Source organism: Homo sapiens, chromosome 6 (assembly GCF_000001405.40).
Source record: "Homo sapiens chromosome 6, GRCh38.p14 Primary Assembly".
Lineage (NCBI taxonomy): Eukaryota > Metazoa > Chordata > Mammalia > Primates > Hominidae > Homo > Homo sapiens.
In genome coordinates, this window is record NC_000006.12 from 41,432,098 (window position 1) to 41,458,217 (window position 26,120).

The 26,120-nt window shown below is 50.9% G+C and overlaps 2 long non-coding RNA genes across 2 annotated transcripts in view, besides 3 other annotated features; both read right to left on the reverse strand.

Moving 5' to 3' along the window:
- Positions 1-5,528: 5,528 nt before the first annotated feature.
- Positions 5,529-12,313, reverse strand: LOC107986538 (uncharacterized). The gene is made up of 3 exons (XR_001743878.2): positions 11,490-12,313; positions 10,665-10,876; positions 5,529-6,012 (listed from the first exon to the last, which is right to left on the reverse strand). It is a non-coding gene; the product is annotated as an uncharacterized LOC107986538 (long non-coding RNA).
- Positions 17,918-20,796: an enhancer, noted in NCBI's record as "VISTA enhancer hs2104". NCBI's record gives its function as "enhancer in: heart[4/8]" and the evidence as "EXISTENCE:transgenic organism evidence [ECO:0001131][PMID:17130149]".
- Positions 20,792-26,120, reverse strand: part of LOC112267957 (uncharacterized) — a 52,113-nt gene continuing 46,784 nt past the window's right edge. The window contains exon 3 of the long non-coding RNA XR_002956346.2: positions 20,792-21,223. This is a non-coding gene — a long non-coding RNA (uncharacterized LOC112267957). The remainder of the gene's footprint in view (positions 21,224-26,120) is intronic.
- Positions 23,754-24,048: a silencer, noted in NCBI's record as "tiled region #8968; HepG2 Repressive non-DNase unmatched - State 4:PromP". NCBI's record gives its function as "represses a minimal TATA promoter and a strong SV40 promoter by Sharpr-MPRA in HepG2 cells {active_cell/tissue: HepG2}" and the evidence as "EXISTENCE:reporter gene assay evidence [ECO:0000049][PMID:27701403]".
- Positions 24,490-25,277: an enhancer, noted in NCBI's record as "H3K27ac-H3K4me1 hESC enhancer chr6:41424325-41425112 (GRCh37/hg19 assembly coordinates)". NCBI's record gives its function as "activates a minimal SCP1, AML or CMV promoter by ChIP-STARR-seq in primed H9 embryonic stem cells {active_cell/tissue: H9 hESC(primed)}" and the evidence as "EXISTENCE:reporter gene assay evidence [ECO:0000049][PMID:30033119]".

A 26,120-nucleotide genomic window follows, 5' to 3' on the forward strand; every position in this document is an offset into this window, starting at 1 on the left:
CACCTCCAAACCTGTGTGTGAGACCCCATCAGCAGAGGACATCTGTGGCAAAGAGGAGGTGGAGGAGGAAGCAGGGTGTATGTTCTTGCCTTCGGCCTCCTTTGCTGTCTCTCCATCTCTGATCCCCACCCTGGTGTCCCTGTCTCCTCTCTGCCTCTCTCTCTCTCTCTCTCTCTCTCTCTCTCTCTCCAGATTCCTCTGTCATTGCCTCTTCTCTCTCCCAGTCCACTCTGATCCAAATATCCCTTCACCTTTGCTCAGGAACAAGGCACTCCTCCAAGTGCCCAGGCAGGAGTCGGTATGGGGGGCTGGTGGCCTGGCCCAAGTCCTCCAGGGAGCAGGCCCCGAGGTGGGAAGAATATTTCTCCCTTCCCCCCATCTCTGGGCCCTCCCTCTGTGAGTACAGCCTGAGGACAAAGGTGATGCTCCACCCCCCTGGCCCACCCCAGCCTCCTGCCCCACCCCAGCCTCCTGCTCCACCCCTCAAGACTTCCCCTCCTTGTCATCCAAAGAAAAGCCCACCACTTTGGGGGACCAGCCTCGGAGGAAGCCTCAGTCAGCTTCCTGTGTGAAGATCCCCAAGGTAGAGCAGAAGCTTCCTCCCAAGGCCAGGACCCAGGCCTCCCCTAAAGGATCCAGCACCTTCCAGGCCCAGCAACAGCTGGCCCCAATGACAATTTGGCCTCCGATTATTATCAAAACCCCCTCCGAGAGCTCACCTCTCAAAGAGCGACATGCACCCTCTGCCAAGGAGGCCTCCTGCTCCCCAGGTGCATGTGACCACCCCTTACCCCACTTTTCTTCAAAATAAATATTTTTGTTAGATCAGCAATAGTCTACCTTTTTCTTCTGCCCTGAGAAAGAGAGAGGAAAGACACAATCTCAGGCACTTTCAGCTGTACTATTGCATTTAATCTTCACAATAGCCCTAAAAGATTGAAAATATGTCAAGTTTTGTAGATGAGGAAACTGAAGTTCAGAGGAGTTAAGTTACTTGCCGAGGTGGCAGAGCAATGATTTGATCTCAGAGCTGAGTCTAAAGCTCACGTCCCCTTTGCTGAGCCCTATAATGATATCATCCTGCAGGCAGATCAATGACAATACAGTGGACAAGAGACAGGGCACTTACAAGACCTTGAATCTATCACTCAAGGCGCCCGTTATATCTGTCAGTTTTCCTTTTTTTTTTTTTTTTTTTTTTTGAGGTGGACTATGGCTCTTGTCACCCAGGCTGGAGTGCAGTGGCACAATCTCAGCTCACTGCAGCCTCCGCCTCCCATGTTCAAGTGATTCTCCTGCCTCAGCCTCCCAAGTAACTGGGATTACAGGCACCCGCCACCACGCCCAGCTAATTTTTGTATTTTTAGCAGAGACAGGGTTTCACCATGTTGGCCAGGCTGGTCTCGAACTCCTGACCTCAGGTGATCCGCCCAGTTCGGCCTCCCAAAGCGCTGGGATTACAAGCATGAGCCACCGCACCCAGACAACTTTCCTTTGATTGAAGACTTGGGGCCACTTCTCCCCATGTCTCCACCCTGAGACTTTATTCTGCCCCCTCTTCCCCTTACCATGCTGCTCAAGCCAAGACTACCAAATCCACACGCACCTCCTGCCCCGAATTCTCCTGCCCAAGTTATGTATCATGCAATTTAGATGTTTTTCTCCCCTAATAATTTATATCACCTCATTCAAAATTTGGTCCATAACCAATATCAAGGCAGAGACTTAATTTGAATCCTATGTTTTATGACACAATGGAAAAGTTGGGCCCGGCGTGGTGGCTCACGCCTGTAATCCCAGCACTTTGGGAAGCTGAGATGGGTCGATCACCTGAGGTCAAGAGTTTGAGACCAGCCTGGGCAACATGGTGAAACCCCATCTCTACGAAAAATACAAAAATTAGCTGGGCGTGATGCTGCATGCCTGTAATCCCAGCTACTCGGGAGGCTGAGGCAGGAGAATCACTTGAACCTAGGAGGTAGAAGTTGCAGTGAGCCGAGATGGTGCCACTGCACTCCAACCTGGGCAATAGAGCGAGACTCGGTCTCAAAAAAGAAAGAAAGAAAGACAGAAAATGTGAACACTGACTGGATATTTGTGGATATTAAACACTTAATTTTTTTTTTTTTTTTTGAGACCAACTCCTGCTCTGTCACTAGGCTGGAGTGCAGTGGCGCCATCTCAGCTCACCGCAATCTCCACCTACTGGGTTCGAGCGATTCTCCTGCCTCAGCCTCCCGAGTAGTTGGGATTATAGGCATGCGCCACCACGCCCAGCTAATTTTTGTATTTTTAGTAGAAATGGGGTCTCACCGTGTTGGCCAGGATGGTCTTGATCTCCTGACCTCGTGATCCACCCGCCTTGGCCTCCCAAAGTGCTGAGATTACAGGTGTGAGCCACCACGCCTGGCCAAGACTTAATTTTTTAATAATAAACCTTTTCTTAGAAGAGTTTTTGGTTTACAAAAAAAATTGAGAAAATAGTACAGAGAGTTCCCATATACCCCCTGTACCTAGTGTCCTCTATTATTAACATCTTATATTGGGATAGTACATTCATTAGAATTAATAAACCAGTATTGATACATTACTATTGTTACTATTATTATTAAAGTAAAGATGTGGGAGTCTCGCCATGTTGCCCAGGCTGGTCTTGAACTCCTGGCCTCAAGCCATCTTCTGACCTCAGCCTACCAAAGTGCTGGGATTACAGGCATGAGCCACCATGGTTGGCCTGATACATTAACTAAAACCCCCCAGTGAATTCATATTTCCTTAGTTTTCACCTAATGTTCTTTTCTAATTCCAGGACCTCCTTCAGGATGCCACATTTAATCGTCATGTCTCCTTATGCCCCTCCCCCCTCCGCTTCCTGTGACAGTTTCTTAGGCCTCCGTTGTTTTTGATGACCTTGACAGTTTCAAGGAGTACTGATCAGGTATTTTGAGGAATGTTTCTCTCTTGGAATTTGATGTTTTTCTCATGACTAGACTAGGGTTAAAAAAATGGGGAGGAAGGTCACAGAGATAAAGTGCCATTTGTATCACATTGTATATAGCAAGTTTTGTGACTGTTATGTTGCCCTTCATTACCTGGCTGGGGTAGTGCTTCGGCAAGTAACTTACCAGATTACTTCATTGCAAAGTTAGGCTTTCCCACCACGCTTCTCCTACTGTGCTCTTTGGAGGGAAGTCACTATGCGCAGCCCACACAGAAGCCATGGGGAGTTAACGCTCCTCCTCCATGAGGACAAAGTGTCTCCATAAAAGATTTGGATTTCTTCTGCATGCGAGAGTTCTCTCTTCTCCTCCATTTATTTATTTATTCAATTATTTATATCAGCAGGGACTCGGGGATATTTATTTTATACTTTGGGTAATAATCCAATACTAGTATATTTATTTTTTTCGCTCAGATTGTTCCAGTTTTGGCCATTGGGAGCTATTTCAGTTGGCTCCTGTGTTCCTTTGACATACCCCCATCAATGTGGGAGTTTTGTTTTGGCTTTTTTGTTTTCCTTTGTTTTGTTTTAAGCATTTCCATACTTTCTGGAACTATAAGACCTCCAAATTCCTCTTGTATATTTTCCTGCCCTAGTCTCAGATTCAGCCATTTCTCCAAGGAGCCGTTTCATTTCCTTGGAACCTAGCTCTGGGTGCTAGGTGTGCAGTTACAGACTTAATTTTTGTATGTAATAAAGGTATTTAAGATATTTTGAAAAGCTCTTATCTTTTCCAGATTTATATAAAATGTTTATGGCTGAAATAATATAATGTCTGTGATTTGCTTCAAAAGAATACAGGGAGAGACAGAATATAGAAGACACAAAGGCTGGGCGCAGTGGCTCACACCTGTAATCCCAGCACTTGGGGAGGCTGAGGCAGGCGGATCATGAGGTCAGGAGTTCAAGACCAGCCTGGCCAACATGGCAAAACCCCATCTGTACTAGAAATACAAAAAAAATTAGCTGGGCGTGGTGTCACACGCCTGTAATCCCACCTACTTGGGAGGCTGAGGCAGGAGAATCGCTTGAACCCAAGAGGCAGAAGTTGCGGTGAGCCCACATCGCGCCATTGTACTCCAGCCTGGGCAACAGAGCGAGACTCTGTCTCAAAAAAAAAAAAAGAAGAAGAAGAAGAAACAAGATTGACCATGAATTGCTCTATGTTGAGGCTGGGTGATGGGATGCATAGGGACTGTGTATACTGTTCTGTCTACTTTAGTATATGCTTGAAATTTCTTTTTTTTTTTTTTTTTTTTTTTTTTTTGAGACGGAGTCTCGCTGTCGCCCAGGCTGGAGTGCAGTGGCGCAATCTCGGCTCACTGCAGGCTCCGCCCCCTGGGGTTCACGCCATTCTCCTGCCTCAGCCTCCCGAGTAGCTGGGACTACAGGCGCCCGCCACCTCGCCCGGCTAATTTTTTGTATTTTTAGTAGAGACGGGGTTTCACCGTGTTAGCCAGGATGGTCTCGATCTCCTGACCTCGTGATCCGCCCGCCTCGGCCTCCCAAAGTGCTGGGATTACAGGCGTGAGCCACCGCGCCCGGCCTATGCTTGAAATTTCTAGAGTAAAAATGTTAAAACATTAAAATAAAACTTGGTCCCACTTACCTCCTCTAAAGGTGTTCTTGGTTGCTCACATGTTCTGGCAACTGCTCCTCACTCCTGCCGGACTCTTTCGTTCTTTCTTGGTCACACTGCTGCACTGAGGTTTCCCAGGCCTCTGCTTGCTGCCAGCCTGAAGACCAGGTATCTCCTCACAGTGGCACCACCGACCCTCCCCAAGCACCCACTCCATGCAGGGTGTTATAACAAGCGTTCATGATGCTGAGCCAAACAGCGCAGGTTTTGTCAGCTATTATGGTTATCGGTTTCTTTTTTTTTTTTTTGAGACGGAGTTTCACTCTTGTTGCCCAGGCTGCAGTGCAATGGCGCTATCTCAGCTCACCGCAACCTCTGCCTCCCAGGTTCAAGCGATTCTCCTGCCTCAGCCTCCCGAGTAGCTGGGATTAACAGGCATGTGCCACCACACCCGGCTAATTTTGTATTTTTAGTAGAGATGGGGTTTCTCCATGTTGGTCAGTCTGGTCTCAAACTCCCAACCTCAGGTGATCTGCCCACCTCGGCCTCCCAAAGTGCTGGTATTACAGGCATGAGCCACTGCGCCCAGCCCTGGTTATTGGTTTCTTTAGGCACAAATTCTTCCTGACATTTTCTCTTTTGAGATTTTTTTTTTCAGTGTTCTGTGAAACCTACTCTTTCTAAGGCTAGGCTAAATGTGTAAGAAAATGTTCCTCAAAATGCACCCCAGTGGTCCCAGCATTAGAATCCCCTCTAGTTCCTATTGAAAATGCAGACTCTGGGTCCCTGATTCTCTAGTTACTGAACCTGCAGGTGTAAAGTGGGGCTCTGGGCTCTGGTTTGTAATGAGCTCCATATCTCCCTTCCTGGGGAGGAGGAGGTCCTTAAAGTTCATCTCTCGAAGCTGAGGGTTCTTGGCTATGAAGAAAGATGATGGTCATTGTCTTATATATTTATCTATTTATTTATTTTTAGAGACAGGATCTGGCTCTGTTGCCCAGGCCAGAGTACAATGGTGCAATCGCAGCTCACTGCAGCCTGGAACTTAAGCAATCAGGCAATCAGAGGGGTGAACCATCATGCCTAGCTAAATTTTTTAATTTTTTTTTGCAGAGACGGGGTCTTGCTATGTTGCCCAGGCTGATCTCAAACTCTTGGGCTCAAGTGATCCACCTCCTTCAGGCCTCCCAAAATGTTGAGATTACAGGCATGAGCCACAGCGCCCGGCCAGCCTTTGCCTTTTTAATCTCTCCCTGTTTCTGCTTCTCTGCCCCATTTTGTCCTGTGTGTTTCTGCCCTCTGGCAATCTCTCTCTTGTCCCTTGGCCTCCCGCTGGCCATGGCTTGTTTTGTGGCCTGGGCAGAAGGTGCTGTATCAGGCAGGGTCACGACGGGAAACGAAGTTTACCCCCAACTGGTTCAAGTGAAGAGACCTAAAGACATAAAGACATATTTCTAGAGTTAAGGGGAGGAACTAGGGATATTGAGGCACCAGAGACTAACAACACTGGATGCCATGATCACCCTGAGAGGCAAAGGAAGCAAAAGTACTGTATGCGACCAGTGAGGGCTGGGGCCTGGGAAAGGGGCTGCCTGCAGCAGCTGCAGTCTTGGAGAGACCTAGGGCTGAGCCTCTCCTCCCTCTCTCCCACCCCAGTTGCTTATTCACATTGGCCAAACCCAAAAACAAGCCAGAGGGCTCAGCCTCCCTCGGCTTACAGCAGAGTGGAGATGGGTAAGGAGCAGACTGGGCTGGAGGTAAGGGGCAAATGGGATAATGGGCACATTGGGTGCGCTTCTCAAGTCCTGACTGACCAGACCCTTTGGTCACCAACCTCCAGGGCAGGCTCCCAGGCTGCTCCTGAGCCCTCCAGAGAACCAGTGTCTGAGGAGCTGAGTACGGTCTTGGCCCTGTTCTTTACGGTCAGGGCTATACACTTCTTAAAGCCCAAGTGAGAGGGTGCCGTGACTCCCTGTTCTCCCTCTGCTCCCAGGAAATCTCTGCTTTGCTAGTATTTCAGTGAGGATTAGGTTTTTCCAAGTGTCCGAAAATCTAAGATAACAATTACTTATAAAAGATGAAAGTTTATTTCTCTGACACATGCAGAAATTTCATATATGGGAAGCTCAAAGAAGGGTGGGCAGATTCACAAAGTCATCAGAATTCCAGGCTCCTTCTGTTACTTTGCCCTGTCTTCCTCAGTACATAGCTTCCACCTTATGATTCAACAGGGCTGCTAACGCTCCAGCTATCAGATCTACATTCCAGTCAGCAGCAAAAAGGAACCTTGAAGGATTCTCCTTCCATTTAAGATTCCCTGGAAGCCCTACATACTTCCATTGACATGTCATGAGCCAAAACCCTGTCTCATAGCCATGCCTAGCTACAGAGGAGGCCAGAGAATACAGTCTTTATTCTGAGTGGGCACATGCACAGCAGAATTAGTGATTCTATTACTAAGGAAGATGAAGAGAATGGATACTGGGGTTGGCTAGCAGTTGCTGCTGCAACTGGAATGGTTGGTACTGCAGGATTTGGGGTGTTGAGGAAGCAGGGGGAGAGGGTGCATGTAGCAAAGGGTTTAAGGCAGAGGAAGAAACACAACTCAACCTCTCACCCTCTACTCCCTCGGGGAGCCTCTCCCAGGAATTCTTCCCCATAGCTGCAGCTAGAGAGAGCTTTCCTTCCTGCCATTGAACTTGCAGCCACAGCACTCAATCATGACATGCTCTGCAGAAACCACCTCCATATGGTCAAGACCTACAGTCATTTTCCTGTCCTTGACTTTCTGCCCTTCCCAGCAGCCTTAGCCATGTTTGGAGGTGCCCCCTGAAACCATCTCCTCTCCTAGCTCCCATGGCCTTCTGCCAGCCCCTCCTACCTCCCAGCCCCACACACTCCTCACTTGTTGTTGCTGGCCTCTCCTTGCTATAGTTCTAGGTCTTCCTCCTGGCCCAGGCTGAACCCTTTGTTTCTCTCTCTCTCTCTCTCTCTTTTTACTTTTTGTAGAGATAGGGGTCTCACTATGTTGCCCAGGCTGGTCCCAAACTCCTGGCCTGTGGTGATCCTCCCACCTCGGCCTTCCAAAGTGCTGGGATTACAGAAGTGAGCCACCTTGCCAGTCTGTTCCCAATACACACCTTCCCCAGGTGGTCTCATCCATGACCACGGATTTAAAGACTCCATATGGCTCCAGACACTAAGATTTTATCTCCAGCCCTAATCTTCTCGCCCAATTCATTTCTCCAGCTGTTCACCTCCCACCAAAGCAGCGTTCTGGTGTTCCTCCCTCATGCTTCCCCCTCGGGAAATGGCACCACATTTGCCAAAACACTCCAGCCCAAAGCAAACGTGTCCTCTTCAATTCCTCCCTTCTCCTCGCCCCACATCTCCAACCCACTAGCCAGTCCTGCTTGGTCAAATCCATATATATATATAATTTTTTTTTTTTAGACTGGGCTGACAGCACACAACATGGCCTCTAGTCTCCTGCCACCTCTCCCACTTCCTGACTTGCCACTCTCCCCTCATTTCCTGCAATCATTGCCTCACCAGGGTTTGGGGGTTTTTTGGTTTTGTTTTTTTTTTTTTTTTCAGTTCTGCAAACCGGCCAAGATCTCTCCTGCCTCACTGGCTCTAGCCCTACATCTTCTGCCCCTCTGCCTGTCAGGCTGCTCCCAACCCTTTATCTTTTTTTTGAGATAGAATCTCACTCTGTCACCCAGGCTAGAGTGCAGTGGCATGATCTTGGCTCACTGCAACCTCCGCCTCCTGGGTTCAAGGGATTCTCATACCTCAGCCACCCAAGTTGCTGGGATTATAGGCGCATGCCTCCATACCTGGCTAATTTTTGTATTTTTGGTAAAGATGGAGTTTCCCCATGTTAGCTAGGCTGGTCTTAAACTCCTGACCTCAGGTGATTCGCCCGCCTCAGCCTCCCAAATTGCTGGGATTACAGGTGTGAGCCACTGCACCTGGCCTATTCCCAGCCCTTTCTCATCCTGTAGAGCTCACATCTACATGGCATCCTCCTGGGTGGCCACCCAGCTCAGTCAGCCCTTTGTTAATTTTCTTCCTTTTGCTTAGAGTTACTTGCCATTATTTTTGCAGTGTTCTTTCACGTCCACTGACTTTCTTTCTGTCTGTGTCACTTTATTAGAACATAAACATGATGAAGACAGGCCATCTCCCCTGGCACAATTGGTCCAACATAGGCCTTGACCCATAGAAGGTGTTTAAAAAATCTATTGGATCAGTGATGAACCTTTCTCTATCTTCCATCACGCCTAACTGATTGCCAGGGAAACCACTGGAACTCAGTGAAGATGCTGCTGACTATTTAATTAGCATCTCCAGCCATGCCCTGCACAAACCCAGAGTTCTTCAGAGCCCCTAGCATCAGGAGTGCTGGGTGCTATCCCACCCAGAAACTCTGCCTCCTCTCTTCCTTCTGCGTTCCCCAGTGCCCACACGAGCTCTCACTAGCCAACAAGCCTGGGATACAGCGTCATTTCTAAAGCACCTACTACGTACCGGGTGCAGCTTGCCCTCACAACCAACTGCAAGGATAGATTAGCAAAAGACAAGATTCTTTTCCAAATGAGAAACCATGCCCCAGAGAGGCTAAATAATTTGCCCAGGACCACAGTAGTGAGTGGTAAGGTGGGATTCAAATCCAGGGCTGTCTGATCCAGTTAAATTACACCAAGCCACCAAGAGGGGCTGTGAGAAGGGCTTTGAACCCTCCCCCGCTGTAGTGTGCCCACCCCTTCCTTGATACCCTTCTTGCCCTTCTACCCTGGGGTTCTGCCAGGAGCAAGAGGTAAGGAACAGGGCCTCAAAAGTCAGAAAGTCTGGGAGGGTAAGGGCAAGGTGTGTGTTGGGGAGAGGACGCGGGGTTTGGTCTTGGGCAGGGACTGAGCCCTGGCTTCCAGTCGGCGGTGGTGAAGGGAGAAGATGGACAGACAGGTTGATGGGAAGATGTGACCACCCCAAATTCTGAATGCCTGTCTTCTTTCCTTGTCTATTACAGGTCTATGCTCAGAAGGTTGGAAATTTGGGGCAAGGAAGGGAGGTAACCATTTCCTGTCCCTGACCTGCCTGCCCACATCCCCTCACCTGACAGGGCTCTTAAGGGCTGAGGCATGTGCGGTAAGAGGGAAAGAGGAGGGGCAGTATGGGAAGGGGGTGCATCAGTGCCCCCCACAGACAAATAGGGGCTTGCCTGGGGATGTGGTTCTATCAGTCTTTGGAAGAGAAGGAAAGGTGAGAGGGGCCTCAGCCAGGAAGGAGGGAAGGAGGGGGGTGAGCAAGCGTCAGGGTGAGAAGCCTGGAGGTGGAGAGGGCACAGGCCCTTGTCTGACTGGTCAAGGCAGAGCGGGCCTGAGAGGGAGAACCGTCAGCAGAAATGGCTCCCCTCCCTCCTCCCTCTCATAGTCCAGCCCTGGCCTCCTACCCGCACCCCTACCCAGCCCAGGAAGAGGAGTGGGAAAAGGCCCTGTCACTAGGAGACCCTTTGTACTGCCAGCTTTTGGCTTTTTGCAGGGGAACAAGCCCCTCTCTAATCCGCAGCCTTCGACTCCTAGGCCTAATTAATAGGAATTTGCCCCCCTACTTGGGCCTCAGGCCTGCAGGGCAGGGACTGTAGGAGGAGAGGAAGTAGGGAGGTATGGGCATCCCCACAGGGGCCACCCTGAGGGTTAGCTGGGGCTGGGGGTAGACCCTACCCCAAACCTCAGGTCCTGGCCCCAGCCCAGCCTGGGAGGGGAGCAATGAACACCGAGTACGCAGGTCAAAGGGCAAGGCCAGGCTGGTCCCTGGTATTCCTCAGAGCCTTCCAGGCTGCTGGGCACCTCCCCTGCCCATGGGTGAGTTTGCCACCCCACCCCAACACCCACTCTGTGCTCCCCTCTCCTTCCAGCATGCACCAGGGGAAAGATCATGGAGCTCAGAAAACCTAGTTCATATCCCAACCTTGCTTCTCAGTAGTTGTGTGGACTTGGGCAAGCTGCCGAGCCTCTCAGAGCCTGTTTCCCACTCTAAAATGTGGTCTCTAAAAGTCATAGACCTAGAAGCCAAACTGACCTCGTGATGTATTAGTGAGGACCCAAGGACAAAATGTCTGGGAGGCCAAAAGCATCTCTCAGACAGTCTCTACAGGACTCTTCCAGGTCCCGGAAGCCCGAGCGAGCTTCCTGGAGGAGGTGGCTGGGGAGAGTGGAGGAGCCGGTAGGGGTCGCTGTGCTTGCGCGCGCCCGTCCAGGAACTCGCCGGGGCTGTGGGGAGGGGGCGCCGGCCTGGAGAGGACAATGTACAGTCTGTTCTAACACCCACCCACTCCAAACGCACACTTCCCACCCCGTCTCTTGTCCCTCCCAGCCCCGGGGCTAGACCCTGAGGGCTCGGGCCGCACCTCACGCGTCTCTCCACCCCCAAGGCCCCTCCTGACCCACCCCAGGGCGGGCTGGTCTCCCCTTGGGGGGCCGGGGGCCAAGAATGGGCGCGTCAACTGGGGCAAATTAACACGTAGGAAAACACCCCAGCACCTGGAGAAACAGGAGCTGGGGCTGGGGGAGGGCGGCCAGAGCCTTCGAAGTCAGAACCCGAAAGGAGCGATAATTCACCCTAGTGTCCCGCGGCCTCCCGCCTGCCCCCTACCCCCGCCTCGCAGCCTCTGGTTTCAAAGGCGGACAAACAGCGCACTGTGCTTGGCCGCGGCTCCCTCGCTAAATCTTCCTGTCTTCAAGTTCTTGTAACTTGAGCCGGCAGAGCTGACCCTCCCTCGGAGGCCTGAAGGGTACGAGAAGGGGAGGGGTGGGGGGGGGAGGGGAAGCGGGAGGGTGGGGGTAAAAGCAGGAGGGAGGTGCGGGGAGAGGGTTCTGACCATCCCGTTGGGACCTCAGCCCTCACCCATTCCTCCTGATCTGGGCAGCCTCCGGGCCCCAACTCCAGCCAGCCGACCCCTTTCCTCCACTTTCGGGGGTCTCTCTGGGACAGATGTGGCTTTAGAGGAAGCCTTTGCAAAGTGGCAGCTTTGGGGCGGGTTTGGGATTCTGGAAGCTTCTGAGCATAGTGTGAGTGTGTGCGAGGGGATGGGGGAAGGCCCAGCATGTGGAAAAGTCATTTTCATGCTTGAGTTGGGAGCAGACAGAGATCAGGGGAGACGAGGGAGTCCTCGCTTTCGGAGGGGGTGTAAAGTAAACTAACCAGGGAGGAGCCTCCCACAGCCACTCTGGTCTGAGACAGCGCCTGCCCAGAATCCCTCTCCACAGCTCTTCTAACAACTGAGGATCCCTGGGGCCAGCGTGAGTGGGAGTGGAGGAAGGAGTCCAGGAAATCCCTGGAGATCCGCAGCCTGGGATGGCCCCTGTTGAGATTTTCAATGGGGGAGCCCTCCTCCCTCCCTGGGCTGCTTCCAGGCCTAGGATGGAAGCAGAATCTCAAAGCACATGGGAGCTCAAGGCTTCCAGGGAGGGCAGAGGACATTTAATTAAGAAGGAGCCAACTGCACAGGGGAAGAGGTCAAGATTTTATTGGTGGGGGCACGGGCAACGGCAGAGGTGAAGGGCAGGGCTAGAGCTGGTTGAATCCGGGGTAAGAGAGTGAGTGAGATTTGAGGGTAAAGAAAGAGTCATGGGAGGTGGGGTTAGGGTGGATGTGGAGTTGGAGTTAGGATTCAAGGTAGGGAAATGTGTTGGTACAAGGCATAATGGTAAGTCCGGAGTTCATTCTGTTAGCAATCAACAAATATTAATCGAGGACCTCCCATATACCAGGCTCTGTTCTACTTGCTGGAAATAACATATAACAGTGAGTACAACACAAAACTCTGCCCCCTCAGAGGTGACATGCCAGTGGTGGAAGCAGATAATAAAGTAAATGGGAGAATAAATTGTATGTCAATGCTATAGAGACAAAGCTGGGAAGGGGGTTAGGGAGTAATAGGGCACGCATTGCAATTTTAAACATGGGCTCACTGAGAAGGTGACATCTGAGTCAAAACCTCAAGGGGTTAGGGAAGCCAGCCGAGTAAATATCTTGGTGAAGAGCATTCTAAGCAGAGGGAACAGCAAATGCAAAATCCCTGGCGTGTGTAAGTACGCCCAGCTCGTTCAAGGAACAGCTAAAAGATTAGTGTAGCTGGGAAGAAGGTGAGGAGAGTAGGGAGGAGAGAAGAGGCCAGAGTGGTGATGGGCTGAGAGCAGGGTTGGATTAGAATCAGAGCAGAGGTCTGCACTAGCTCTGTCTCCCGTCTCTGAGTGTTGGGGAAACTGAAGGCATGTAGGCAGAGGCCTGCGTGGAGGACTTGGATAGAGGTGGGAGATCAGGGTGGAGACAACTGAAAACAGGTCCACCTGGAGAACTCCTGGCAAGGAGGTGCCCTCGAGGCCTCCTATTGGGCCAGGGCACCTGACCTCAAGACTTTTCCCTGTCTCATCAATGTCTCCCCCTCCAAAGCATGAGACACCACTTCACTTGGAGCTCATCTTCAAAACTTTGTCACCCATCCCCCCCAATTTGTTTGCTAGTAAAAAGATTGGGGGGGTGGGCTGTCTCTTTTCCTCTCCATCGCCTCCTCCCAATCATCGCCAGTGTTCTCCTTCCCTTCTCTCTCCTGCCCGCTCCCTCTCCCTTTCTCTCCCTGAGAGCTGATGCAGTTAATTGGAGCGTCTTGAAAGTGCACATTAACACACAGAGAGCCAAGGAGACGTCTTGGCAGCGAAATATCATTATCACTTCTTGAGCTCCAGCCAAAATCCCCTCGCGGTCAAAACACAATTCTTTAAACTAAACAATTAAAGATTTGTGCAAGTGTGGCTGCCATGAGGTATCAGGCTGGGAGCGGCTGCCCCTGCCAGTGTCAGCAGAAGTTAGCAACCTGCTCCATGCTCCGAGCCAGGTGATGGGCCCAGAAGGAGGAAAAACAGCAGGTCCACAGCGGCGGCCTGGAGACCAGAACAGTCTGCCCCTGTCTCCAAACCAGGACAGCCACGGGTTTGAGATCCTGGGGGGAAAAAACATGGCAGGCCCATCCAAGCTCACCCAACCTCCTCAACCCCCATGGAGAGCTGGGGTTCAACATCGATCTTATAGTCACTCTGGACTTAGTCAGTATGGGACCCAGTCCCTTGCAGAAGCCCATGGATTTGGAAATGGCAGACCCAACCCTTTTCATTCCCTGCTCCTACCAGCATATTTTCAGAAACCCCATGCCTGGAATAAGAATCATGGGGTGCCACTGCACCCCAAGCTCATGCCTGCCTTCTCCAGCTCAGAGCTCTGACGCAGTTGCACACGCTTAGGCGCAGGGCCATGCACACCACGTGGCCTGAGTTTGGAGCAGAGAGGTGCTGGGGCTACCACTCCAGCCCTGCCCTGTACTGGAGTTTCCACCCGCACAGACCTCAGTGAGGACCCCACCCACGTATGGTCATGGGGCAAATCCTACTGATGCACTGCCAAGTTAATGTGGTGACCCTGAGCAAGTCCCTGGCACTGCCAAGTTAATGTGGTGACCCTGAGCAAGTCCCTGACTCTCTCAATTTCGGTTCTCATGTCCATACCATACAATTTGGGCTTTTTTTTTTTCTTTTTTCGTCTTGAGACAGGATCTCACTATGTTGCCCAGTCTGGTCTTGAACTCCTGGGCTCAAGCAAGCCTCTCACCTCAGCATCCAGAGTAGCTGGGGCTACTCTGAACTAGCCCCCGTAGTGGGCATGCACTATAGGTTCATGCCACCACACCTGGCTTGATTTTGAAGATTCCTTTCCATTCAAAAGTGTTGCTGGGCATAGTGGCTCACATCTGTAATCCCAGCACTTTGGGAGGCTGAGGCGGGTGGATCACCTGAAGGTCAGGAGTTCAAGACCAGCCTGGCCAACATAGTGAAACTCTGTTTCTACTAAAAATACAAAAAATTAGCCAGGCGTAGTGGTGGGTGCTTGTAATCCCAGCTACTCAGGAGGCCGAGGCGGGCAAATCGCTTGAACCCGGGAGGCAGAGGTTGCAGTGAGCCAAGATCGCGCCATTGCACTCCAGCCTGGGCAACAAGAGCAAAACTCCATCTCAAAAACAAAAAAAGAAGAAGAAATAAGAAATAAAGAAAAAAAAGTGTCATGGACCTGTGATTGTACGTACCAAGTTCAAGGGCTGTGGATGTATTTTGGGCAACGGGCTCAGAAAGCCTTCTCCTTTCACACCTGGAAAAATTCCCTTAGGCTGTGCATTTCAGCAAACCAATTCAATCAAAGACACCCACTATGCCCTGATGAGGGAAGTTGGGGATACCAGGGAAGGGTCCCTCTGTCTCCAGCTGTTTTGGAGTGTCTCTCTTGGAGCAGCCAAGGAAACTTGAGTCTGGTGGAGCAAAGACTCTGGAGCCAGACAGCGTGGGTTCAATCTCAGCTCCCACTCACTAGCTGTGTGACTTTTGGCAAGATGCTTACCTCTCTGTGCCTCAGACGTCCCATCTGTAAAGTGGGGCTAACAATAGTACCCACCTCATGAGGTTGATATGAAGATTAAATGAATTAAAATATGGAAACCAGAACAGTGCCCAGCCCATAGTAGGCTCTCAATGAATAGTCGCTATTATTATTTATCTGGCTTTTCTAGTGGGTATCTATAGCAGCTTGTCTCCAACGATGACCTCAACATGAATCACACCTCCTCAAATATATACTCTTGTGTAGGACTGACCCCTCTCATGTCAAATCTGGGACAGCCCAGGGTAACCAATAGAATGTGGCAAAAGTGGCACTGTGTGATTTTTTTTTTTTTTTTTTGAGACGGAATCTCACTCTGTCGCCCAAGCTGGAGTGCAGTGGCGCAATCTCAGCTCAGTGCAACCTCCGCCTCCCAGGTTCAAGCGATTCTCTTGCCTCAGCCTCCCGAATAGCTGGGACTACAGACGCATGCCACCACACCCAGCTAATGTTTTGTATTTTTAGTAGAGACGGGGTTTCACCCCATTAGCCAGGATGGTCTCGATCTCCTGACCTCGTGATCTGCCCGCCTTGGTCTCCCAAAGTGCTGGGATTACAGGCATGAGCCATCGTGCCCGGCCAGACACTGTGTGACTTCTAATGCTAGACCTTGCAGCTTCTGCCTGGGTCTCTTGATAGGGTCCCTGTCACACACCATATAGGAAGTCCAACTCGCCATAGCCCAGCATGCCGTGAGGAAGCTCAAGCTAGCCATGTGGAGGGGCCAGGAAGAAAGAGAAAGTGATGCTTGGCCAAGCACCCAGCTGTTCCATCTACCCCAGCTAAAATGCTAGGTATGTTAGTGAAGAAGAGCCTGGACATCCCACCCAATCCAGCCTTCAAGCAACTCCATTCCAGCTACTACCTGGGAACCAGGTGAGATACCCCAAGCAAGAACTGCCTAGCTGGAACAAGTCAACCCACAGAACTGTGAGAGTTAATAATAAATTTTTTGTTTTAAGCAACTAAGTTTTGAGGTGGTTTGTTCCTCAGCAATGGGCATTAGAGTCAGGGCAAGTCAGAGTTGGGAGGGGCTTTAGTGATCCTACTTTGAATCTAATCCTAATCAGATCATGATGTCACTCTCCTTCTCTTAACCTCACAGTGGCCTTCTATCACATTTTGAATAAAATCTAAAGTCCTCTCTAAGGCCTGCCAGGTCTTACATGCTCTGTGCTCCACTCCCCCCTCAGACCTCATCTTCTACCACTTTTTTCTTCCCTTCTCCTACTGCAAGCACTCTGGCCTCCTTGCCCTTTCTTGAACATGCTGAATGGGTTCTTGCCTCAGGGCCTTTGCACAGGCTCCTCCCTCTGCCTGGAGTGTTTTTCCTCCTTATTTTACCACAGCTAACTCCTTCACTTTCTTCAGATCCCTGCTTCATGTCACCTTTCATGTTCCTTTCCTGAAATAGTGCTCCTCACCCTTCCATTATCCCTTTCTCTCGCCTTACCCTGATTTATTTTTCCTCAGGTTACTCATTGCTACCTGACATTATATTACACATTTATTTATGCATGAATTGGTTGCCTTTAAGCTTCCATGAGATCAGGACTTTTTTTTTTTTTTTTTTTTTTTCCTTGAGACAGAGTCTGGCTCTGTTGGCCAGGCTGAAGTGCAATGATGCGATCTCGGCTTACTGCAACCTCTGCCTTCTGGGTTCAAGCAATTCTGTCTCAGCCTCCCCAGTAGCTGGGATTACAGGCATGCACCACCATGCCCAGCTAATGTTTTGTATTTTTAGTAGAGATGGGGTTTCACTATGTTGGCCAGGCTGGTCTCGAACTCCTGACCTCAGGTGATCCATCCGCCTCAGCCTCCCAAAGTGCTGGGATTACAGGCTTGAGCCACTGAGCCCAGCTGAAGTCAGGACTTTTATCTGCTTGGTTGGCCACCGAGCTCCAGGGCCTACAACAGTGCCTGACACATAGTAGCTCTCAGTCAATATCTGCAAGAGAAATGAAACCTCTCTACCCCAGGGAAGGGAACTGAGCCCTAGAGATGGGGCAGGGACTTGTCCAGTATCACATGGCAACCTAGTCTGACCTGGATCCAGGGTGCTGTCTTCCCAAATGCCCCATGCACACCTGTATCCCTCAGAGGGCTCCTTCTTTCCATTCCCACTGAGCAGCAGTGGCTCCACCTCTCTGTCACTCAGGCAGGCCAATAGCCCTCAGCTCTTCCAGTTGTTTCTGTCAAATAGAATTTACAATAAACTTTGTTTGAACTTTTGTCTAAGTGATAATTATACAGAGTATAACATACAGCCAGCTGTATTTAATTAAAGCTGTAATTTCACTAAGGGTTTCTGGAAACAGAGTAAACCGCAAGAGTTGTACCACCCATAACCCTGTGTGGGGGCTGCACCCACACGGGAGCAGGGTGGCTGAAACAGAGGCCCCAGAAGCCAGAGGTCGCCAACAGGGTCTTGCTGCTAGAATCTGGGGCACTCCTATCTTGGGGCCATGCAGAGAGGGCGGGGCTGGGTTGGCCTCAGGCCAAAGACTCAGTCTGGAACCTCTCAGAACACGTGCATGGGTTTCTTCTGAACTTTGTTGGCTCACAAGAAAGCAGATTCTTTCAAGACACTGGAATATAGGGCTAAGGAGCTGAGAAGATGCCAAACAGGAGCAAAGAAGATGGCTGAGAAGGGGCCCTCTAGATGACAGGCCCAGGGTATGGGACAAGGGAAAGGAATGAGTGCCAGCCGAGTGGAGGGCAGGCCAGGCATGGACCCAGTCAACAAAATTATGCTTAGTGCTTATCACACACCTGGCACTGTGCCAGGCACAGAGGTTAAGGACACATGGGACTTTGCCCTGCTGAGTTTGGTTGAGCAAGGAGACAGCCTTATGTACTAACCGCAACAGGCATTCTCTAAGAGAGGATCGGATAGCCTAGTGGCTAAGAGTGCTTCTCCTGGGACCCAAGCACTCAGGTTTAAATCCTGCCTCTCCCCTTCTCAGCTAGGTGTGCTGTCTTACTTCTTTCTATCTATCTCCCTTTTATCATCTGTAAAATGGGTCAACAGTGTCCACCTCAAAGTGTTATTGAGATAATTAAATGAATGAATCTGTGTTAAGGGCTTAGAACAGCAGTGCTTAACATGTAGAGAGGGTCAGCAAATGTTAGGCATTATCATTGAATATTTCTGGGAGCCCATGAAGAGGAGTCATCCTTTTGACCTGGAAATCGGGCGGTCAACCATCCTAGCTTCCGGTGCTGAGCTTCAGACTTGCAATACTGAAACCAGGGCAGTCACAGGAAAACCAGGACAGTTGTTCACCCTGCCTGGAAGTTAGAACTGGGTCTCAAAGAGAAGGGATGTCCAAGCTAGGCACACACTAAGGAGGATGGGGACTTAGCTCTGCAGAAGGGGAATAACACACGGGAAAGTACGGAAAAAGGGATTCAGGCCCAGATCAGCCGTGAACTCCCTGAGTGATCCTGGGCTAGTCACGCTCCTTCTCTGAGACTCAGTTGTCCCATCTGTCATTTTATCGGAGACTGATTGCTCTCTGAGGATCCTTGCAGGTCCGCAACCAAAGGGGAATAGAGCCGCAGGAAGGGCCTGGTGGGAGGGCCCAGGGATCGCCCCACCTGTCCGCAGCATGCGCACATGCACACGGCAGCGCGCGCACACACACACACACACACACACATGCACTCACACAAAATGGTAGGCAAGGGAGAGGGGTCAGCCACACAGGATAAAGGAGACACTTGCCCACGTATAAAATCCCCTCTTTGGGGCCTACACAGGGCTAGATCATTAGGATTAACCAGAGAGAGCTGGGTTTAATTGTCAAAAGAGGCTTGCTGCTGGGGTGGGGGCCGAGCAAGATCTCTGAAGAGATGCAGAAATATTCCTGGGTAATAAAACATCCCCTTTTCAGTGTCGAAGTTAATGTTCCAAGCCTCGGGTAAAATGTGGCTTCTTATCAGCCAGTGCTTTCCCTAGAGAGGGCCGGGCAGCAGGCAGGGAAGCAGGGGAGCAGCTTGGGCTCCCCTCGCCCTTAGAGAGTGTGAGTGTGGGTGGCTTGGTGGTCAGAAGGCTAAGGCTCTTTCGAGAGGCTGAGCTCCCCTTGAGACCCCACCCCCACGCCATCTCCTGGACAGCCCAAGTGTGGGGCATACCACCTGCGTGTCAAGCTGTCTTTGAATCTGTTTCCCTCCCTCCTGCCTTTTCCACAGATGCTTATTCGTTCTGCCCTCTCCCCTCTCTCCATCGCTGTCTTCTTTCTCCTCCCTTTTCTCCCAGAGTGTTCTTTACACCTGTCTGCCCTGTCCCTTCTGCATGTGGCTGTATCGGTACCTGTGTTTGTGTCCGTCTGTCCTGCTGGGGCTCTGCCCCTGGAGCGGGGACAAGAGGCAGGAGGCCTCACATACTGTCTGGGAGCAACACTTACGCCCGCCCACTCATGCACCCCCGGGTGACTCTCCACAAGCAGGCGTGGGTAGGCAGAGGGCGGCTCGCTCAGGCCCTGGGATGCTGCCTGCACCCCTGCTTCGGCACCGGGCCCCAAACCCGCAGGCGTGTGCTGGCGGCACAACACAGTGACTCTGACAGGCCGCTGGTTTAAATATAGAGTTGCGTATGCAAGCTGGGGCTAATTTTAGCAGGAATGTGCTGGAAACTTTCTGAGGGCTCTGTTCTCTAGCTGTCTCCCTTGTGCTCATCGCTTGCGGCGGGAAGTAAACCTGCTGGTCCCCGCCGTTCCTCACCTTCCCACTTCTCCCTGCCAGTCACCCAGATGCTGGCCCTAGCCTTGTCTTCACAGGAGCCAAGCCCATGACTGAGGTTTTAAGTCCCCCCGCTCTCCTCTCTCCTGCCTTCCAGACCCACCCCTACCTACCCCAGTCTCTTCCACAAAGCCAAGGCCAGCCAGCCCTGGGGAAAAGGATCAGTCAAGCAGATTCTTCCTTCATCCGGTATCACCTCAGTGACACGTCCTGTCAGAGGACACACTTGCCTGCCTCACATATTGACATGATCCACCATTCACTGAGCAGCCCCTAGGATGGGGACTTAGCTCCGCAGAGGGAGGTAATACATGGAAAAGTATGGAACCAGGGCAGCAACCCTGGGGTAGGTCTGAGTCATGTCCCCACTAGACAGACCAGGCCACTGAGGCCCAGGAGAGTTCAAGGACTTGCCTCAGGTCATTTCACACCACACCACAGATCACCAAATACATTATGGAGTACATTTGTCTTTTAAATGAGAGCCCTGGGAGGAAGAGGTCATCATTAGCACAAAGGAAAGATTCTATAATGGTGGAACTCCAAGGACTATGATTCCAGATGAGCTCAGCTGCTTGAGGGAGGGATGGGGAAGCTCCTGTCTCTCTCTCACCCTTCCTGGGTCCCACTGCACCACCTGTGGGCCTCAGGCAATAGGCCACACTTCTGCACTATCAAACTCTTTTTTCTTTTCTTTTTTTTTTTGAGACAGAGTTTTACTCTTGTTGCCCAGGCTGGAGTGCAATGGTGCAGTCTGGCTCACTGAAACCTCCGTCTCCCGGGTTCAAGCGATTCTCCTGCCTCAGCCTCCTAAATAGCTGGGATTACAGGTGCCCACCACACCCGCTAACTTTTGCATTTTTAGTAGAGTGGGGGGTTCACCATGTTGGCCAGGCTGGTCTCAAACTCCTGACCTCAGGCGATCTGCCTGCCTTGGCCTCCCAAAGTGCTGAGATTACAGGCGTGAGCCACTGCGCCCAACCTTGAACTACCAAACTCTGCATTTATTTATCCTACTTATCCATTTGAGTAGCATTTATGGAGCACCTACTGTGTGCCCAGCACTCTTGCAGGTGTCCAGTTACAAAGAATGAGGCAAAGGGCAGGGCTTGGCTCTGAGGGCCTCCTGGGTTAGTTGGTGACAGGCACAAGCCTGGAGTAAACAATTAGCTGAATTCTCATTGGTAAGGATGAAAACAGGAGCTGGGGGAAGAGAGGAAAGAAAAAGTTGACACCCGGAAAGGGCTCCCCCCACCACCCACCACCCGCCACAAGAAACTCCAGAAGGCATCAACTCTTCCTCCCCAGGCTTCTCTGACTGTTCTCTCCAGCAGCTCCAGAAAAATGTCCTGTCTCTCCGCGGGGCTATGGAACTGCGCTGCGTGGTGGTTGTGTTTGAGTGCGAGGACATTTCCCTGTAATGAGGATGAGAATAGTTAACGAGGAGGGTGACACACTGTAGTTAGAGAGCAACAGATCTCTGGGGGGTGCCTGCCCGCCCCGCTGCAGGGACGCCAGCTCCTGGGGACCCTGACAGAAGCTGCAGGAGCCAGTCCAGCAGGCACCAGGCAAATGTCCAACTCTGGCTGCTGTCCCCAGCCCATCCCACTCAGAGGAGAGTGGCTTAGACTGGGGCCTGCGGGCCTTCAGCTCACATCTTGGCCTTGGGTTGTCGGAAAAGGGGACCCTAGGAAGGCGTGAAGGATGCATTTTAAATTACAGCCTCCCGACAATCCCTTTTCCTCCTTCACTTTTCTCCATAGCACTAAATTCCCTGTAATGTACAATATAATTTGCTTATTCATTTTTCTTACATCTGTCCCCCTGACGAAAATGAAATCTTCATGTTTCGTCTCCGGCCATTCCTCCAACAGCGCCTAGCCCAGAGTAGGTGTTCAAGAAAGATTGGCGCATGAACAAATACGTTTGAGCTTTGCTGTGCTGTGTGGACTCTTGGGACCCATCGGGCTAGAGATGGGTTCTTACGTGGCTGAAGTCTGCATCTGTGCGTATGTGTGGTGGGCGGGGAATGTCTGTGAGGTGTGTGTGTGTGTCTGTGTGTGAAATGTGTGTGTGTGAGGTGCGTGTGTATGTGAAGGGTATGTGTGAGTTGTACGACATGTCTGTGAGGTCTGTGTGTGAGGTGTGTGTGTGTGAAGTGTGTGAGGTGTGTACATGTCTGTGATGGGTATGTGCATAAGATGTGTGTGTCTGTGATGTGTGTCTGTGAGACGTGTGTGTGAGGTGTGTGTGTGAAATGTATATGTGTGAGGTATGTGTGTATCCATGAGGTGTGTGTCTGTGAGCCGTGTGTGTGAGGTATGTGTGAGGTGTGTGTCTATAAAGTATGTGTGTCTGTGAGGTATGCGTGTCTGTGAACTGTGTGTGCATCTGTGAGCTGTGTGTCCATGAGGTACGTGTATCCATGAGGTGTGTGTCTATGAGCTGTGTGCGTGAGGTGTGTGTCTATAAAGTGTGTGTGTGTGTATTCATGAGGTGTATGTCTGTGAGCTGTGTGTGAGAGTTGTGCGTCTATAAAGTCTGTGTGTGTGTATCCATGAGGTGTGTGTCTGTGAGCTGTGTGTGTGAGGTGTGTGTCTATAAAGTATGTGTGTGTGTGAGATATGCCTGTGTGTGCATCTGTGAGCTGTGTGTCTATGAGGTACGTGTACCCATGAGGTGTGTGTCTGTGAGCCGTGTGTGTGTCTGTGAGCTGTGTGTATAAGGTGTGTGTCTATAAGGTATGTGTGTCTGTGAGGTGTGTGTATTTCTGTGAAGTGTGCAAGCATCTATATCTGTGAGTTGTATGTATGCAAGTGTGTACGTGTGTGTGTGCTTTCAATCTGGTCGCTGACTCCCTTCACACACTCAGCTGCTGAGTCTCGGGGTTGAGCACACTGGGTGAGTTGGAGTGGGGTGCCGGTGTGCATCTGCCTGCTTGGGCAGGAGTGCCCTGCTTCCAGCTTGAAGATCTCCCACTGATGTCCTCACCCACACCAGGTCTCTGGGACAGACTCCTCCGCCAGGGCCATGCCCACATCAAATCATGCCCATCTTGGTGCCTGGGTCACTGCTTTCCGCAGGAATGGGCAGCACCCTGGTGTGGCATTCCTAACTGGGTTTCCATGCACTCCCAGTGGAAAAACCAAGGCTTGTGGAAAATACTGAGAATGGCCATACTTCGGGTGGTGCCTGCTATGTATCAGAATCGTTCCAAGGGCTTCACAATTCTGACAACTCTGTGGGGCGGGTATCATTGGTACAGATGAGGACACAGCGGCACTGAGGGAAGGAGTAACTTGTCCAAAGTCACACAACTAGTTAGTAAGACATGGACACGGGCACCAGGTTCCCGAAGTCACCTGCAACTCACTCCTTATGCCTCAAGTCCTCCTTTCCCCGCTGCCTGAGGACTTCACCTAGATGAGACAGTGGGGTGGGGCCCCCTTCTTCACCCCAGAACCACCGCCTTCTTTTGCAAGAGAAGGAATGGCAAGAGCATGAAGAAGCTGTCTGCTGAGAGGCTTGCAAGCAGGTTCATTATCCCAGCCTTACAGAGAGCTGTCCCTCCCCTCATGTCAACTCCGCCAGTAGTGGGTACGACTGTGTCCTCCAAAAAGATGCCAAGTCCTAACCTTTGGTACCTATGAATGTGACCTTATTTGGAAATAGGCTCTTTGCAGATGTAATCCAGTTAAGATGAGGTCATACTGGATTGGAGTGGACTCTAAATGCAGTAACTGGTGTTCTTACAACAAGAGGGAAATTTAGCCACAGAGACACATAGGGAAAATGCTATGTGATGATGGGAGCAGAGATTGGGGTGAGGTGTCTTCAAGCCAAGGTTCAGCAAGTATTGCAGCAGTCCAGAAGCCAGGAACAGAGGCATAGTCCCCTCAGAGCCGACAGAAGGGACTGACTTTGCCACATCTTAATCTCAGACTTCTGTCCTCCAGAACTGTGAGACAACTGTGAAAGTTATTAGAATCGAAATACAGTCACTGTCAAACCCTAAGAAAATGGAGCCAGGGGGCCATGAAGAAGGGGCCCTCATCCATACATGTCTATGATGGGAACTATGCAAGGAATTCCTCAGAATCGCAGCATTCCAGATAAGCCACTTGCCCCAGGACACTTGCCTGACAATGGGTGTCTTCACCAAAGAGCTTATGCCAATTCCTATGAGACCCTGTAACCCATGGTCTTTGTTTCAAAACTGCTTACACGATTTCTCCTTTTTGTCTTTAAAAGCTTCCTCCTGGCCCCAACCCCCTTGGACCTACTATGGGCCTATGACCCGTTATAGCACACATATCCCAGATTGCAATCCCCTGCTATTCCCAAATAAACCTTTGTTTTGGAGAGTTGGTCTCCCTGCTGCTCATTTTAGTTGGCACAATACATTTCTGTTGCTTTAAGACACCAAGACTGTGTGCTCCTACAGCAGTCTTAGAAAACGAAAACCTCCCTCCCAGGGCAGAATGGACACACACACACACACACACACACACACACACACACACACACACACACAGTAGACAATGACTTAGACTAACACTCTGACCAGGCCACACAGGCTTGTGCTGAGCAGGTGCCCCCTGGCTCCTATGCAAGGTACTCCCGCTCAGAGTTACCCCAGCCTAGCCGGGCACGCACTTCTCACACATCACCTGACAGCCTTCCCTCCTCTGGGCCCACCAGGAACTCTCAGTGGAAGCTTCCTGAGGACAGAAACTCTCCAAACTCCATCTTCTGGAGCTTCCTCCCTGGACCCTCCTGTTCACTCCCAAGCCCACAGTCTCCTGGTCTGCCTCCCTCTCTCCTCCCTTCCTGTCTCCCTTCCTTCCTTCCTCCCTTCTTTCCTCCCCTCCTTCCTTCCATCTCCCTCTGCCCCTTTTTCTTTCCCCTTGGGTAAACACAGCCCTGCGGCGAGGCCCTGCCATGTTCCCCGAGAGCTGCACATTGCCACCTGTTGCTATGGAGAAGCCTCTTTATCGCAAACACTGGGTAAACAGCTGCTGCTGGGAGCCCCTTTCTGCTGGGCAGGGGTTTATTTGGAGAAAGTCAATAAGGAAAAATAAACATTCCCGGCCCTATGTATATACAGCCTTGGGACCTGCAGTGCTCTGCAGCATCTCAGGCCTGCCAGCTCCCCAGAGGGTCAGGCAGGCTGAGCCCCACCCCTCCCTCTGATCCCAGCATCTTCCAGTTAAAGCAGGAGTGTGGGGGGTAAGGCAGCCACCTCACTCTGGACTCAGCCAGGTCACCCTGCAGGCTGCACCTACCTTGCCCTAGGCTGGGCCCAGGTCAAAGTTTCAAGGCTCAGACTTCCATATTCCCCTTCTATGAAAGGGTGTGCTGAAACAGCTGCCCACCCACCTGCCCAGCCCAGCAGCCCCGCCCGCTGTCTTCTAGGGAAGTCCACTCTGTCTGTGCTCCCACAAGCGCTGGGGGTCCTGGGGAGAACCATGGCCAATTTGGATTGATTAAAATTCTCTCTTCTTTAGCAGCTGAGTTTCAGTTGAATTAAACGTGTTAAGTGTTTAGTAATACAGCAATCCACTCAGTCAGCACAATTATTTAACAACTGTGACTATGTTGAGGAATCATGCTAGGCTATGCTGGCTCCTGTCCTCGTGGTGCTTACAGTCTAGTGGGGAAGAAAGCCAGCCGTAAAGATGCAGTTAATTTAGTATTTACAGGCGTGGGAAGTGCAGCGCAGGAGTACAGGATGCTCTGAGAGTTTATAAGAGCACTTTACATCTCGCTAATATCTATTACATGCATTAGCTCAGTTAATCCTCAGAGCAATCCTGGGCCGGGCATGGTGGCGTGTGACTGTAATCCCAGCTACTCCAGAGGCTGAGGCAGGAGAATCGCTTGAACCCGGGAGGCAGAGAGAGGTTGCAGTGAGCCAAGATCGTGCCATTGCACTCCAGCCTGGGTGACAGAGAGAGACTGTCAAACAAACAAACAAAAAAACAGTAAAAATCAAAATTAAAAAACTTGTATTCCCATTTCACAGATGGGGACATAACTGAAAGTCAATTAGGTACTAAGTGGGAGACTCAGAATTTAAATCCAAGATTGCCCAAGACAAAAGTCCTAGGCTCTAAACCACTGTGCAATTCTGTCAGGTCTGGAACAGAAACACCACAGTCCCTGCCCTCAAGAAGTTCACAAGAAACACCCTAATGAAATGTTTCATGACAGGTGGGGACAAGCAATGGCAGGAGTGGCTACTGAGGGATGCTGTGGTCATTCAGAGGACCTCCGTGTGACACAGAGGGATGGGAGCCAGAGAAAGGGATT